The sequence below is a fragment of the Homo sapiens genome, chromosome 1 (genome assembly GCF_000001405.40).
Source record: "Homo sapiens chromosome 1, GRCh38.p14 Primary Assembly".
NCBI classification, from domain to species: Eukaryota; Metazoa; Chordata; class Mammalia; order Primates; family Hominidae; genus Homo; species Homo sapiens.
This window is the reverse complement of record NC_000001.11, coordinates 116,977,633-116,994,568: the sequence shown is the minus strand read 5'-3', so window position 1 is coordinate 116,994,568 and position 16,936 is coordinate 116,977,633. Positions and strand designations below refer to the sequence as shown.

General features: G+C 43.8%; 1 protein-coding gene across 2 annotated transcripts in view, besides 2 other annotated features; it reads right to left on the bottom strand.

The window, feature by feature from the left end:
- Positions 3,289–4,488: an enhancer, noted in NCBI's record as "BRD4-independent group 4 enhancer chr1:117532703-117533902 (GRCh37/hg19 assembly coordinates)". NCBI's record gives its function as "activates an origin of replication core promoter dependent on BRD2, P300/CBP, MED14 and CDK7 cofactors, and independent of BRD4, by STARR-seq in HCT116 cells {active_cell/tissue: HCT116}" and the evidence as "EXISTENCE:reporter gene assay evidence [ECO:0000049][PMID:35650434]".
- The window catches only part of PTGFRN (prostaglandin F2 receptor inhibitor), an 80,438-nt gene continuing 67,717 nt past the window's right edge, over positions 4,216–16,936 (bottom strand). For both annotated transcript variants that reach the window (NM_020440.4, XM_017001874.2), the window contains exons 8-9: positions 9,584–9,889; positions 4,216–7,768 (exon numbers count right to left, since the gene is read on the bottom strand). In NM_020440.4, coding sequence (NP_065173.2) covers positions 7,602–7,768; positions 9,584–9,889 — 473 coding nt within the window. In that variant the 3' untranslated portion in view covers positions 4,216–7,601. The remainder of the gene's footprint in view (positions 7,769–9,583; positions 9,890–16,936) is intronic.
- Positions 11,988–12,282: an enhancer, noted in NCBI's record as "tiled region #2959; HepG2 Activating DNase matched - State 8:EnhW". NCBI's record gives its function as "activates a minimal TATA promoter and a strong SV40 promoter by Sharpr-MPRA in HepG2 cells {active_cell/tissue: HepG2}" and the evidence as "EXISTENCE:reporter gene assay evidence [ECO:0000049][PMID:27701403]".

Here is a 16,936-nt window from a genome sequence, read left to right as displayed (position 1 = left end):
AAAGATTTGGGTTCAAATCTTGAGCAAATCACTTGCCTTATGTCTCAATTTCCTCATTTATAAAAATGGTAACAATAACAGTAGAAACTTTCTTATCTGACACAATTTGGGCTGTTAGTTGATCAATTAAGAGAACATGTCAGGTAAACGTGGGAATCATAAAAAGACTTCCATGGATCTTAGACATTTTATTTCTACCTCAACATATACATGCACATTCATTCACCAATCTCTTGACACAGGCCCGAGCCTTCCTGTTGAATATGGGTCTGCTGCCTGGAGTCTCTTGCCACTTTCTTGCATAAACCAAACCTATAATGTCTACTCTACAAATTTCAGGTTTGATTTTTTTGAAATGGAGTAAGAACTTAAGCATTTGTGAAGCCAACGGAGTGTAGAGTCCTCCCATGTTTCTGTTATCCTCCCCACCCCGCTCAATCTTTTACAGTTATTTTGCCCATACCTAAATTGATAGCATTTTTTTAAAAAGCAATTTGCTTTTATGAGTTTTTTCCAGAGAATTCATGTTTTTATTGATACATCTTACTTTTTAAAATTGTGGTAAAAAGCATAACATTAAACTTACCATCTTAACCATTTTAAATGTACAGTTTAGAAAGTATATTCACATTGTTGGGCAATAGATCTCCGTAACTTTTTCATCTTGCAACTCTATACCCAGTATACACTAATTTCCCCTCCCCCCCAGCTCTTGGCAACCTTACTTTTCTACCTTCTGTGATACTTTATATGAGTGGAATCATACATATTTGTCCTTGTGACTGGCTTATTTCACTTATGTCCTCAAGGTTCATCCACACTGTAATGTATGACAGGATTTCCTTGTTAAAGGCTGCATGATATTCCATTGTAAGTACATACCACATTTTCTTTATCTATTCATCTGTTGCCATCAACAAAAGGTCGGTTACCTCTACCGTTTGGCTACTGAGAATACTGTTGTGATGAATATGGGTATGCAGATACCTCTTTGAGATACTGCTTTGAATTCTTTTGGATATATACCCAGAAGTGGAACTGCTGGATCATTTGGTAATTCTATTTAGTTTTTTGAGGAAACTCCATGCTGTTCTCCTTTGCAGCGGCACCATCTTACATCACCAACAGAGTACAAGAGTTCTAATTTCTCCACATTCTCAGTAACACTTGTTATTTCCTATTCTTTTGATAGTGGTTACCCTAATGCACGTCAATTGATATCTCATTGTGGTTTTGATCAGTGCTTCGCCTACGATTAGCGATGCTGACCATCTTTTCATGTTTGCTTTCCATTTGTATATCTTCTTTGGAGAGTTGTTTATTCAAGTCCTTTGCCCATTTTGTTTTAAATTTTTACAGGTTTGTGGGAAACACGTGGTGTTTGGTTACATGAATAGTTCTCTAGTGGTGATTTCTGAGATTTTGGTGCACCCATCACCTTAGCAGTGGACACTGTACCCAATGTGCAGTCTTTTATCCCTCACCCCACTCCTACCCTTTCCCCAGAGTCCCCAAAGTCCATTGTATCCTTCTTGTGCCTTTGTGTCCTGGTAGCTTAGCTCCCACTTATGAGTGAGAACATACGATGTTTGGTTTTCCATTCCTGAGTCACTTCACTCAGAATAATGGTCTCCAATTCCATCCAGGTTGCTGCAAATGCCATTATTTCATTCCTTTTTATGCTTTGCCCATTTTAAAATCAGGTTACTTTTTATTGTACAACTAAGTTACTTATATATTCTGGATACTAGCCCCTTATCAGATACATGATTTTTAAATATTTTCTTCCATTTTGAAGGTTGTCTTTTCACTCTGTTAGTTTTTCTCCTTTGACATGCAGAAATTAAGTTTGTGTAGTCCCATTTGTCTATTTTTTTTTTTTATTTTGTTGCTTGAGCTTTTGGTGTCACACCCAACATATTATTGCCAAATCCAAAGTATTACAGCTTTCCTCCTATGTTCTCTTCTAGGAGTTTATAGGTTTAAGTCTTATGTTTAGGTCTTTAATTCATTTTGAGTTAATTTCTGTAGATGGTGTGAGGTAAGGGTCCAGCTTCATTCTTTTGTATGTGGACATCCAGTTTTACCAACAGCACTTTTGAACACCCCTTTGGCATTCATATTTCATTGGTTTACATACTATTCAACAAACTTATTATAATCATAGTAACCAGTACTGTTGGCACAAGTAGGTTGGAGAATGCACAGAACAGGGTGGACTCAGGTGAGCATCACCTCTCTGGGTGGAGCTGAGCCACCCAGGTGTTTACAAGACTCAGTAGTCTACAAGCCCTAAGCAATGAGTGTATGCATTAATCACCCCTTTTTATTTTCTGTTTATTGATGCTTTAACATCTGGGTCTTGCTAATCCTGGAGAGACTGCCCCTGCCAGGGCTAACCAATTCCTAGAGCTAGTTAAGGACTCTCCTGAGAGAAGCCTTTCGTATGCAAACCAACCAATCCAGAGCCTACACTGCACAACCTCCTCCACTGAATTCTTGCACTAAGGACCACTACTCCCTTTCCCAAATCACCCAGGATTAGGTACCAGACAACTAGGGACAACCCCTATGCCCTAGAGCTTGCTGAAATTATTCAACCTAGCCAATCCTAAGCCTGCCTACTCTGCCTCACCTATTCCTTCCTGCAAAAACCACAATAAAGCCCCGTGCCCATGTTTCCCCTGTGCCTTGACCCTGGTGCTTCCCTGCGCAGCCTCCCATGGTGGGGTACGTCCCTCCTCTTGGGTTCTATGAATATAACAAACCATCTTTTCTACGGCAATTGTCTCCTGATCTGTTGGCCCTGCCAAACCTAAATAATACTAAAACTTTCATTTTAAAAGTGTGTCACACACACTGGTCTGTGGGTTAGAGGAAGTGAGTGGTATTTTTTGAATGATCCAGTTTTGTGAAGAACAGGCAAGAGTGCTTCTGCTGTAAATCCCTTTGGGTCACTTAAGATTGCAATCACATCTATGAGGTACTTGTCTTAGTGCATGGCACATTGTAAGAGTCCAATTCACAATTTGGTACTGAAGCCACAGCAATGAATGGTTCCTATCCTCCCATCATTTTCAGACTATCAGACCATCTGTCAAGGGACCTTCACTTTGCCTAGAGAAGGAGAAGATGACCCCTGGGTCCTGAAAGAGAAGTACAAGTTAGGAGGAAGGAAGGCTGGATAGAAATAAGTTTCTAGGCAAGCAGATACTATGTGCCAAGGCCTACAGACAACTCAGCAGCAATTGTGCTTAGCACAATGCCTGGGCACACAATAAGTATGCAAGTAAGTTCCTGTTTTGTTTTTAATTTAGTTTAATGTTATTAATATAAATTTATAACTTAAATTTTAGGCAGGAATGGGTTCAGAAATAGGTGGAGGATTGCTAATGACCAGCTCTGACCGTGTTACCGTTGTGACATGAGTGGAACCCTCCCGGTTCGCTAAGAAGCATGCAATGATGGCTCATTTCCTAGAGCAGAGCATTAACTGTGCATTTACAAAGTGCAAGTGCCTTCTACATGCCTGGAAGAGTGCCAGTCATTGGGTAATGTTAGTGACTGGGACACGGACCCAGCCCTTGAATAACTCCACAACATGAAGTTGGTCCCTGGAAAGGACACAAAAGACAGAGAATGCAAACGAGGCCAAGAGGAGAGTGAATGGCGGAGGCCAGCCAAGGGCAAGCAGCTGTTCCAGGGGCCCGCAGGGAGTTGGGTTCTCGGTATTCACTCCTGCCCAGGCCTGCTGACGCCAGCGGCCTAGGGAAGACGATTGTTTTTCTATTACAGGGGCTGCTACCTTCTGGACTGATTTGGCCCCAGACTGCATCATGAGTCAGAAAAACCACTCCGTTCCAGTCACGATATGGTCACAGAACTTTGGTGTTTCCTCAACTGCAGAGAGGAACAATATCTAACTTCTCTCTTTCCTGAGAGGAGTCCTGTAAGGTCATGGGAATTCCCTGAAAGAGCAGGAGGCCTTCTGTAAACAATAGGATCCTAGCCCTCACCTTTCCACCCGGTGGGAACTTCAACATTGATCCCATCAAATCCATTTCTTCTCTTATCATTAGTGAAAATCTGCAATGCTTTTACAGGATTCAAAGAGATCAGAAGGTGCTAAAGTTGCTGCTGGAATCCAGTCACAATCCCTCACGCTGAAGATATGAAAGGACAGAGGCCAATATCAAGCTCCTCACACAACTTCAATTTAAATTAAACTTCCTTTAATGAAATAAAAAACAAATGGTGCATTGCATAATATTTGTGGTCACAGTATAAAACAATACAATTAGTTCATATAACATTGGATATGGACAAAAATACACAAGATCCTTTCTTTGTCTACGGAAAATTCTGCAGATCCTTATGTGCCACACTTAAAAAGAAAGTCAGCGTTTTCTCTTCTAGGGATCTGCACACATATTTATCACTGAGAATTTGGTCAAACAGTGGAGGAGAACTTACCCAAATCCCAGTTCCCTTCTTCCTCTGTTGTCATCGGTGAAGCTAAAAAAAAGTTTTCTGAAAGTAGCAAGTTGTGTAGTATTGCTTATTATTCCTGCCAAAAAGGCTCAGTCTTTGGCTCACAGATGTCAGTGACAAAATCATGGCTGCAGGCAGTCTGCAAAGCAAGAAGCAAGGGCCACCGGGGAAACAAACGAAGGTCTGGGCAGGAGGGGCCTCCTCTACCAAGATCTCAGGGAGCCCCTCAGATGGTGAGGGTGAGGGGGGGAAAGACACTCAAATAAATACATTTTTAAATTAAAATTTAGCCCAGTTGGTGAGTCAGAGTTCTACTGTCCCATGAAACATCTCAACAGTTGTTAAAAAGTCGATTTGCATTTTTTTTCAAAGTGAAACGTGTATGTAAACATCATAAAGTAAACAATTTACAGGAATTTCGAGGCTTCTATCTGAACATAGCTTAGGCTCTTTCTGGGGCTATTTTTATGATTAGGAAAAAAAATCCCAAACTTTTATAAAGTTCCTTTTTGTTAAGAAGTGCAATTCCACCTGTGTGAGACGCGGCTGGGTCTCTCTTTCATTCACACCAGTGCTGCTGGTAGGAACCTGTTCTAGAAGAGCACTTGTCGCAGGGGTGGGGTGGGGAGCCCTATTTGGTACAACAAAAGAGTGCATCTCACCACATTAAAAATACACATTCCTGGAAATTTATATCCCTAGAAGGAACTAGGTCCTTGGTACAATGCCCTGGGATTTCTCGCCCCTTCCTGCCAGCCCTCAGGTGACATGCAGCTTGGGCAGCCCAGTGGACATGGGGCAGGTGGGTGGAGGTCAATGCCTTAACAACTCCAGCCCTGAACTGCAGCATCAGTATGAAAGGAAAAGGTACAGTGTGTAAGCACCCATCACATTTACCACCATCGAGTGTCTGCTGTGACTCAGTCCATGGTTTTACACACACCCGGTCAGGTCCAAAGCTAAGCACCCTTTCTTCCTACTAAGAAGGGCCTGTGCCAATAAAATCCTGAATCTCCTTTTAATAGATGCAAGGGCTGAAAGGGCACTGGCTGTTACTAATACAGCACCTGTTTAAATATCTGTTCTCTCTTTAATTCTCACTTGTACAATCACCTACAAGCTGCCTCTTCTGAAATAGCAGTTAGGATATGTTATGACATGCAGAAAATACCCAAATCTAGTGCCAACAAGGCCTCGTCCTCTTCCTCTAGTCACTCAGGCCCTGGTGGGGTATACTTGTTGCCCGTCTTCCCACCACAGGCCCGGGCCAAGGAAAGGCTACTGTCAATGCAGAATCTAATGTTTCTACCATGTGCATGGTCCCCTTGGTGGGGAAAACTCAATGGGAATCTGCTTCCAGGGGCGACTCGGTGATAAGTGCAGAACCGGCTGTGGGGGAGCAGGGGGAAATGGTGAGCCAGGAGGAGCACAACTCATCCGGCCCATGGTGACAAAGAGCTGCACATGAATGGCCATCATTTTGTATTAGTTTATTGCTCAAAACAAATGAATCTTTTTTTCCCCTTTGGAAGAGAGAGCAGTGTTAGATCCTTCAAAGTCAAGATAAAAGCAGAGGATTGCAATTAGGGCATGAGTCACCAGCGAGCCTCAGAAAACCCTACTGGGATGCTTCCGAAAGGCCAGTGCTGTGCAGGGGGCGAGACACTTCAGGGAGCGGGAGGCTCCAAGGACAGAGCTTTTAAAGCAGCAGCAGAAGCCTGGGATGTGGAAGATCTCTGTCTACTCTCCTATTCCTGATGGGAGCAGTCGGGCAAAGCACACCGCTCTTGACTCTGCTCTACAGGCCATTCACATAACAGCAAATTGCTGGGTTTCCTTCATGTCCCTATTAGGAAAGCAAAACATACCACAAAGTATACCCTTTCTCACTAACCCCCTGCAGTGGACCTTAAAATGACCTGAAGGACTGAAAAGGTCATAGAAAAAACATGGTGCTTCTAGGTAATTTCTGATTCCTTGAAGTCAGTCAGTCTTGCAAGTAGCAATTTGCCTTCAGGTTAAGGAGCCCAAGCACGTGTGAAGGACATGGCATATCTGTGGGTCCCCCTGCAAGACTCTTGGTGACCAATGCCTTTGCCCCCCACAATGGGCAAGAGAGAGGAATAGTGGTGGCTTCTTTAGCCTAACTTGCACCTGGCACCACTCTGACCCTCCTGGCCCCAGCTGCGTAAGAATAACTTCGTGGGATCCCTCTTCTGCTCCTCCTGGAGTCCCCTGAGACACAGTGGCCTCACAACTACTGGAGCAGGTATCTGATCCTTTCCTTGTCCCCATCCTCCCCTTCCTTGCAGCCCTTCTTACTGCCCTGGACAGAGGTGGCTGTGTATTTTTCTTCATATTCATTCTTAAGGCTAAGGTGGCAAGATAAGGTGCTCAGTGGAGAGCCAAATTGTAGATTCCAGGGCTGCCATTTCAGTGCTCTCACAGAAAACAAATACAAAAGAAATGGAAAAGGGGCAGAGAAGCAAAAAAAAAAAAAAAAAAAGCAGTTGGGCTCAATAAGAAGTTATATACTCCAAGTTTGGATTTCAAATGTAGTCTAAACCCCTGAAAACAGGGGGTGGGGTAGGGTCGTAAAAGCCACAAATTAGCCTTCGGCACAGGTCTGTGTTGTCTGTCAGCCGGGTAGAGGGTGGCGCTCAGCAGCTCTCTGAACACGTGCCTCCAACGCGGAAGCTGGCTCTCAGGCGGGCAGGCACATTCTCACTGAAGATAAAGAACTCCGCATGCCATCACCCCTTCCTCACCACAACCCCGCGAAACAAAAGCTATAAACACACACAAGTCAGAGGATCTATAAACCAGTGGGAGAAAAAAAATTAGATGAAGGTTAACCATTAAAAAGCTGCAGTTGGGAAAACACACACTCGATTGTTACATCAGAAAGTGCCGTGGGAAGAAGAGCCGTGTGCTGGTAAACATGTCCGCGCTCAGAACTTGACATGCAGAAAAGAGAGAGCGCCAAGTCCCACCTGAGATTAGAGAGGACTGGTTTTTAGTGTAACACACTTTGTTTTAAAATATCACTGTCCTCTTCTTGCCCCAATTGCTCCTAGAACGTCCCTCTGTCACTCCCCTCCCGGGCCAGCCTAGTCCATCTCCATCGACATGAGCCTGCGGCGCTCGCGCCGTGTCTCCTGAACCTCCTTCTTACAACACCAGTGGGAGCTGCAGTACCCGATGAGACAGGACAGGAGCCCGATGACCGTGGACAGACCGACGCCGATCAGCAAGGGATACTTGAAGGCGTTCAGCACTGGGAGGGAGAGATCAAAGGGGAAGCCAGTCAGTGCTGCGAGGGAGGCCGCTTTGGGGGCACCCTCGCCTCCCTTCCCCACTGGAGCAGGATCTCCCGAGAGATAAGGTCTCATTCCTCCTGCATCTAGCACCTAGCACACCACTGGAGACAGGAGAAGCTCAGCCTTATCTGTCACAAAAATGAGCAAATGTCTTCCTACCCAGCTCTGCGGGGAGAATAAAAACCACAAAGAAGATTTCACTCGATGCCTTTGAATGTCAACTTGCTTTTTAGGGTTTTGGCAAAAGATTGATTTTTAAAAGTCAGTATAAGGGCACCGCACGTTCAGCAGCAGATGCATCCTTAAAAAAACCATGCATAAATCAATCCTATGCATCAAATAACTGAAGTGTACTAAGGGAGCTATTTTAAGTAACACTATACTAAATTATCTAGCAAAGTGAATAATCACTCCCCTGTTTGTTAAATCTGGGTTTTTATACGGAGTTACTTCAAGCAAGGAATTCCTAAGATGCAAAATATGGTACAGATGATTTAAGTGTCAGAAATGCACAAACACCATTTAGACTCCACCCTTGAAATCCCACCTTCCTTTCCCCATAAGTACCCATGCTCCTTGGGTGGACGCTGCCACTGGGCTAGGTGCTTTACGTTTGCTAAGGTTTAATTTTCGAAATAGCCCCATAGAAGACTATTATCCCATTTTACGAGAGAAAATGGATCAGAAAGGCTAAGTAGTCTGTGGAAGAGCTAGGGCTCCAATTTCCATCTGACTGATCACTAGGGAAACACTCAAAAGGCTTTTACTCATCCTCGGAGGCCCCTGGACTTTAATTCTCTTTATGGAGTTATTTCGACTAACATGTACTTTCTGAAATTTTCCACAAAGGAGACATGTTTTTTGTAAACCAAGGAACAACTGTCCCCACTCTGGGATGCTCAAGGAACAAAGCTCTGACTGTCTAGTTAGGTTGACCCTGGTGTTCATCGTGGGCCAACGAGGCTGGGAGCTCATCCTCCCATCTTGGGGCTCCGTGAAGTACCCACTCTGTGCCACTGACTCCAGAAGGAGTCTCTTTTTTTTTTTTTTGAGATGGAGTATCCCATTGTCGCCTGGGCTGGAGTGCAATGGTGCGATCTCGGCTCACTGCAACCTCCACCTCCTGGGTTCAAGCAATTCTCCTGCTTCAGCCTCCGAGTAGCTGGGATTACAGGCACCCGCCACCACTCCTGGCTAATTTTGTTTTTCTTTTTTGTATTTTTAGTAGAGACGGGGTTTCACTATGTTGGCCAGGCAGGTCTCGAACTCCTGACCTCATGATCCGCCCGCCTCGGCCTCCCAAAGTGCTGGGGTTACAGGCGTGAGCCACTGTGCCCAGCCATGAGTCTCTCTTAAGAAGCAAAACCAGTGGTAGTGAGAGTAGCAGGTCCCTAAGCTATAGCCTCCCCTATTGACCTGAGCCCTCTCTCTCAAGGCTGCTCTCTGCCTGTGCCTAGCAGAATCCATGCCAACCCTCGGACACCATAAAGCGAGTTTCTATAAATTTATGGAAGAGGCAAAGCCTTGAAAATTTTTCTAGTAAGTCTTGAAAATTATTTATCAATGGTGACACTAGCACATAATAGCAAAGCTGGGGAAACTGCAAGGGCTGCTGGTGCCCTTCTGGGTGCAGGCTCAGGCCAGGTCTAGAAAGAAAGCAGGACGTGCTATGGCACATTCCTCAAACTGTGGCCACCTGGGTTCTGTCAGCTACAGCCTGGCACAAGAAGAAGACATTCCCAAACACTGAGAAATTTGGGTGACATTCTTACCATCCATCTTCACAGTTATAAAAACGGGCTTGGAGTGGATCTCTGCCTCCTTCTGCCAGGAACCTGTTGGTGACTTCACCCATGGAGTCACGGAACAGTAGTAGTTGCCAAAGTCCTGGTCCTCGGAGCCATGCACTTGCAGCAAGAATTCCAGCACACTCACGCGCTCCAGGCTGAGGTCGCTCTTCCAGTCCCTCCGGGAGGTGGTCACGATGCCCTTCCGATCCAGGGAAGACAGGAGCACAGGAGCCTTGTCCAGGCCAAAAGAGTGCACCGCAAACCAGGACACATCAAAGGCCATGTCATCTACGGATTACCAAGCCAAAACCCTGGGGTCAGTGCAATGGGCAGAAGTCATATGTATGGCCACATCCATGTATGAGGCCCTTACTACGTATGGCAAGCACAACACTACATGCCTTCGGTCTCACTGGATCCTCACAACAGCCCTATGATGAAGGCACTATCATACTTTTATTCTGCCATTATTGCCAGACTATATACCTGCTCAAGGTCATGTAGTCAGCAGGTAGCAGAGTGTGCAGCTTAACCCAGGGAGTACAGCTCCAGAGCCCAGCCTCTTAACCACTGCACTGCTGCCACCCAGACTAAGGGGCCACAGGAAGAAGAGTCAGGGCCAAAAACTGTCTCCCACAGAGAACACTGATCCGAAAGCTGGTATGCCAGGACACTGCAGGCTCTCTCTCCCAAAGAAAGCCAGCTCCTTTGACAGTTTAGGCAGAAGAACCCAAGACTGGAAGGACACTAAAGTCATATGGAACAAAATGTACATAAAATGAATTGCACCAAATTTAGAGTTGTAAACAGTTTAGATTTTATTGTACACTATGGTTTTTCTTTCCTTGCAGAAGTGCTTAAGTTCAAAACAAGAGGAAAAAAAATGTCAAGCTGAGAAAATGGAACACAGTTTAACAGTCCCAGAGAGTAATGCTGAATCGTAAAGTACTCTGCAAAATTAAGATTCTAACAGCCTCAAATAAATTAATATGGGCATAAGAGAAAGAAGACTTTGGCACAAGTGGTAATTCTCATGGAATGTGAAAACAGAGCACACATCATAAGCCCTTGACCTCTTCCCTTGACTGGTACCAACCATTATCAGCTGTGTCGGCTCTGAGATTCATCCAGCAACAAAAGACAACAGCCATGACACTGTTGTCTTAAATCCACTTGAGAAAGCGTTTTATATAAATGTCAAATAACACAATTTTTTGCCGAACAAGAGATAACATTTGTTCATTTAGTAAAAATACACTAATAGCCTCAAAAAGCACATAAGGCAAATAAATTATTTTCAGATGCTTACATATTAAAAAAGTAAGCAGAACTAAAAGCAAGAATTTCTATGAAATTATCCAAATGATAATTCTTCCTTAGCTCACTCTAAACATGTAATATCTTCTCTTTTTCTCCCATTGACCCACTGTGGCACTTGAGCATAATTTTTTTTTTTTTTTTTTTTTTTTGTTCCCAGTGTCTCTCCAAGGAAACTAGCTCCCTGGGGGCAGAGGGAGTGCCATAAACAGCCTCATGCTCTCACAGTGCCAAGGGCAGAGTGGACACCCGCATCACTCTCGTCTTCAGTGAAAACTCTTAACTCAGTGCTGCTGTCACCTGCAGGTGCTGGGTGGTTGCTGAAGGCAAAAAGCCAAACCGGGTTCCCAGACTCTAAGCCCTGATCCCCGCTGTGCCTTATGGTGTGGGAGCCAGGCTCCAGGGCCAGGCTGCCTGGGCTAGCATCCCAGCACCAGCACTAATGAACCATGTGACCTGGGCGAGTTCCCCAAGTTCACTGAGACTTAGTTTCCTCATCTGCAAAATGAAAATGACAAAACCCAGGGTTAAATTTACCACATTTATTAAAATGCTTAGAACAGCACCTGGAACACAGTAAGTACTCAATAAAAGTTGGTCACCATGAACAACATTATCTCCACAGCTCAACACACATGCTCCTACACACAGACCTGCTAAGGGGAAGGGCATTACCAGCTGCAGCAAATGCAGCTGGTGGCCAGTCCACCCCAGCTGGTGGGCTGGGCCTCTGGCCACTGCAGGTACTGGCTGTTAAAATTCACACACCTGTACCCTCCCCCCTCCAGAGGCCGGGCTTAGGCTGATGGAAGCCGCCACCTGGAGGTTATGAACTGCTCTCGCTTCTTTGCCACTCAGCCTGTGGACAATGACTGACTAGTGAAGGGACAGAAAAGCCCAGTCCCCTTCCCTCCGGTGGGCCTACTCTGCAGTACACTCATGCTCCAGAACTCCCCGTGGGGAGGTGGACTTGCTCTGAATTCACACCTCGACTTGCCTTCTTCTCCAGCTCTATCTCAAGTCCCTCCCTCCCTCAGTGTTCTCCTGAGAACACTCCCTCAATCCATCACTCGCGTGCTTGTCTGTCTTTGCTTGCGGAGAACCTGACCTAAGATACTGCCTCAGAAGGGCCAAAGTCTGCTGTCCCCACCCCTGCTCAGCACAGAGGACCTTGGCCCACAAATCACTTATGCAACATGTCCTTCACAAAAGAGCATTCCCTCACAGCCCACAGCATGTGTGAGGAAAAACTAAATTACAACTTGTGTTTAATAATTCAGTATCTTCCATCCACACAGTCCAAGAGTGCAAAATTCTGGAAAATTGTGATCTGAAAGATAACAGCTACCTATAGCTTTTGCAATTAATTACACTGGAGGAAAAGGCTTTTATATTAAAGGCACAACTGGTGACCTATTAATTTACTGAGAAAGAGCATTTAAAGGATTTATTTTTGTGTGTATCATAAATGAACTTTAAGGGCAAACATGGTATCGCATTTTCCCAACTTTTGAAAAGGATTTTCCTCCCTTTTCCCCGGTAGTCTCTTCTAGTTTTACCATCACTTTCTCTTCGGAATTCTGCTTTCTGTCCTCAGTCTTCCCCATCTCAGGTACAGGAGTGGCTTCTCATTCCTCTTCCCCTGTGAATGGAGCTAACCAACTCCATGGATGTGGGTGGGATTGTTTCTTTTCCTTTTCTAACATCTCCCATAAACTCTCCTTCTGTTTCCTACCTCTAAAGATCAGCCATGTTCACCTTCCCTACTGGAGCCAATTTTGGTTCAATCAACTAGTCCAGGGGTCAGTAAATTACAGCCTGCAGGCCAAGTCCAGCCCACCACCTGCTTTTGTAAATAAAGTTTCACTGAACACAGCTATGCCCATTTGCTTACATTATTATCTACGGCTTCTTTCACACTACAATGGCAGTGCTGAATAGTTGCCACAAACGCCATCTGGCCCACAGGGCCAAAATATTTCCTACCCAGGTCCTTTACAGAAAATATTTGCTGACCTGAACATTCAACTGGGAGTCCTGCAGGAGACAGATGTCCACCTGGATGGTGGTGGCATCCAGGCCTCTGCTTCCAGATGCTAGTGTTACCCAGTCCCCTGCTCAGGGGCTCACTGGATTCACTGCAGGCCACCGCCCTTTGCTTAGAGCTTGCCCCTTCATACAGAATGGAAAGCTGCTTTTAGTTTCTTTCCCAGGGACACACTTCCAGCAGTCTCCACATAGAAACTTGTGACCTCTGTACAATTTGGCCTTTTCAAGCAGCAGATTTCTGCCGGCAGCCATGGCTCTGCTTGTGATGGGGTGGGGTACTACAGAGTGTCGAGGTCAAAGCATGCAGGAGACAAGGGAAGCCCATAGGGAATTAGGGTCTTCATGAGTTCTTTAGGAAAAGGCAGAGGTGGGTACAGTCCTGCTCAGTAGCAGAGATCCCCTGAGTGCATTTAATGTTCTTTCAAGTCTTAAGGGTCAAAGAGTGAGAGAGGGACATCAACTGGTCACTAAATGAGGCTAAGCAGAAAAGGAGTAAGACTGATGGGTCCCACAACTCTTAGGCATCCTGTTGGCAATGCTAATATGTAAATGCAAAGAAAAAATTTATAATGATTTCCTAAGAATTCTAACTACAATAGCACCCTCTGGTCACCAGCTACTCCTTTGCTCTGCATGTCTTCATAGCATTAATTGCTGTGATATTATAGAGCACTTTATTTCTTGCCCATGTCCTCATCTAGGTTGCCAAGCTCCATGAGGACAGACTTTGGGCATATTTTTATTATTATTATACTTTAAGTTCTAGGGTACATGTGCACAACGTGCAGGTTTGTTACATATGTATACATGTGCCATGTTGGTGTGCTGCACCCATTAACTCGTCATTTACATTAGGTATATCTCCTAATGCTATCCCTCCCCTCTAACCCGACCCCACGACAGGCCCTGGTGTGTGATGTTCCCCTTCCTGTGTCCAAGTGTTCTCATTGTTCAATTCCCACCTATGAGTGAGAACATGAGGTGTTTGGTTTTTTGTCCTTGTGACAGTTTGCTGAGAATGATGGTTTCCAGCTTCATCCATGTCCCTACAAAGGACATGAACTCATCCTTTTTTATGGCTGCATAGTATTCCATGGTGTATATGTGCCACATTTTCTTAATCTAGTCTATCACTGATGGACATTTGGGTTGGTTCCAAGTCTGCTATTGTGAATAGTGCTGCAATAAACACACATGTGCATGTGTCTTTATAGCAGATTTATTTATAATCCTTTGACCCAGTAATGGGATGGCTGGGTCAAATGGTATTTCTATTTCTAGATCCTTGAGGAATCGCCACACTGTCTTCCACAATGGTTGAACTAGTTTACAGTCTCACCAACAGTGTAAAAGTGTTCCTATTTCTCCACATCCTCTCCAGCACCTGTTGTTCCCTGACTTTTTAATGATTGCCATTCTAACTGGTGTGAGATGGTGTTGCATTGTGGTTTTGATTTGCATTTCTCTGATGGCCAGTGATGATGAGCGTTTTTTCATGTGTCTGTTGGCTGCATAAATGTCTTCTTTTGAGAAGTGTCTGCTCATATCCTTTGCCCACTTTTTGATGGGGTTGTTTTTTTCTTGTAAATTTGAGTTCTTCGTAGAGTCTGGATATTAGCCCTTTGTCAGATGAGTAGACTGCAAAAATTTTCTCCCATTCTGTAGGTTGCCTGTTCACTCTGATGGTAGTTTCTTTTGCTGTGCAGAAGCTCTTTAGTTTAATTAGATCCCATTTGTCTATTTTGGCTTTTGTTGCCATTGCTTTTGGTGTTTTAAACATGAAGTCCTAGCCCATGCCTATGTCCTGAATGGTACTGCCTAGGTTTTCTTCTAGGGTTTTTATGGTTTTAGGTCTAACATTTAAGTCTTTAATCCATCTTGAATTAATTTTTGTATAAGGTGTAAGGAAGGGATCCAGTTTCAGCTTTCTACATATGGCTAGCCAGTTTTCCCAGCACCATTTATTAAATAGGGAATCCTTTCCCCATGTCTTGTTTTTCTCAGGTTTGTCAAAGATCAGATAGTTGTAGATGTGTGGTATTATTTTTGAGGGCTCTGTTCTTTTCCATTGGTCTATATCTCTGTTTTGGTACCAGCACCATGCTGTTTTGGTTACTGCAGCCTTGTAGTATAGTTTGAAGTCAGGCAGCGTGATACCTCCAGCTTTGTTCTTTTGGCTTAGGATTGACTTGGCAATGCGGGCTCTTTTTTGGTGCCATATGAACTTTAAAGTAGTTTTTTCCAATTCTGTGAAGAAAGCCATTGGTAGCTTGATGGGGATGGCATTGAATCTATAAATTACCTTGGGCAGTATGGCCATTTTCATGATATTGATTCTTCCTATCCATGAGGATGGAATGTTCTTCCATTTGTTTCTGTCCTGTTTTATTTTGTTGAGCAGTGGTTTGCAGTTCTCCTTGAAGAGGTCCTTCACATCCCTTGTAAGTTGGATTCCTAGGTATTTTATTCTCTTTGAAGCAACTGTGAATGGGAGTTCACTCATGATTTGGCTCTCTGTTTGTCTGTTATTGGTGTGTAAGAATGCTTGTGATTTTTGCACATTGATTTTGTATCCTGAGACTTTGCTGAAGTTGCTTATCAGCTTAAGATTTTGGGCTGAGACGATGGGGTTTTCTAAATATACAATCATGTCATCTGCAAACAGGGACAATTTGACTTCCTCTTTTCCTAATTGAATACCCTTTATTTCTTTCTCCTGCCTGATTGCCCTGGCCAGAACTTCCAACAATATGTTGAATAGGAGTGGTGAGAGAGGGTATCCCTGTCTTGTGCCAGTTTTCAAAGGGAATGCTTCCAGTTTTTGCCCATTCAGTATGATATTAGCTGTGGGTTTGTCATAAATAGTTCTTATTATTTTGAGATACGTCCCATCAATACCTAATTTATTGAGAGTTTTTAGCATGAAGGACTGTTGAATTTTGTCAAAGGCCTTTTCTGCATCTATTGAGATAATCATGTGGTTTTTGTCTTTGGTTCTGTTTATATGCTGGATTACATTTATTGATTTGCATATGTTGAACCAGCCTTGCATCCCAGGGATGAAGCCCATTTGATCATGGTGTATAAGCCTTTTGATGTGCTGCTGGATTCGGTTTGCCAGTATTTTATTGAGGATTTTTGCATCGATGTTCATCAGGGATATTGGTCTAAAATTCTCTTTTTTTGTTGTGTCTCTGCCAGGCTTTGGTATCAGGATGATGCTGGCCTCATAAAATGAGTTAGGGAGGATTCCCTCTTTTTCTATTGATTGGAATACTTTCAGAAGGAATGGTACCAGCTCCTCCTTGTACCTTGGTAGAATTCGGCTGTGAATCCGTCTGCTCCTGGACTTTTTTTGGTTGGTAGGCTATTAATTATTGCCTCAACTTCAGAGCCTGTTATTGGTCTATTCAGGGATTCCGCTTCTTCCTGGTTTAGTCTTGGGAGGGTGTATGTGTCCAGGAATTCATCCATTTCTTCTAGATTTTCTAGTTTATTTGCGTAGAGGTATTTATAGTATTCTCTGATGGTAGTTTGTATTTCTGTGGGATCAGTGGTGATATCCCCTTTATCATTTTTTATTGCATCTATTTGATTCTTCTCTCTTTTCTTCTTTATTAGTCTTGCTAGTGGTCTATCTATTTTGTTGATCTTTTCAAAAAACCAGCTCCTGGATTCATTGATTTTTTTGAAGGGTTTTTTGTGTCTCTATCTCCTTCAGCTCCGCTCTGATCTTAGTTATTTCTTGCCTTCTGCTAGCTTTTGAATTTATTTGCTCTTGCTTCCCTAGTTCTTTTAATTGTGATGTTAGGGTGTCAATTTTAGATCTTTCCTGCTTTCTCTTGTGGGCATTTAGTGCTATAAATTTCCCTCTACACACTGCTTTGAATGTGTCCCAGAGATTCTGGTATGTTGTGTCTTTGTTCTCATTGGTTTCAAAGAACATCTTTATTTCTGTCTTCATTTCAT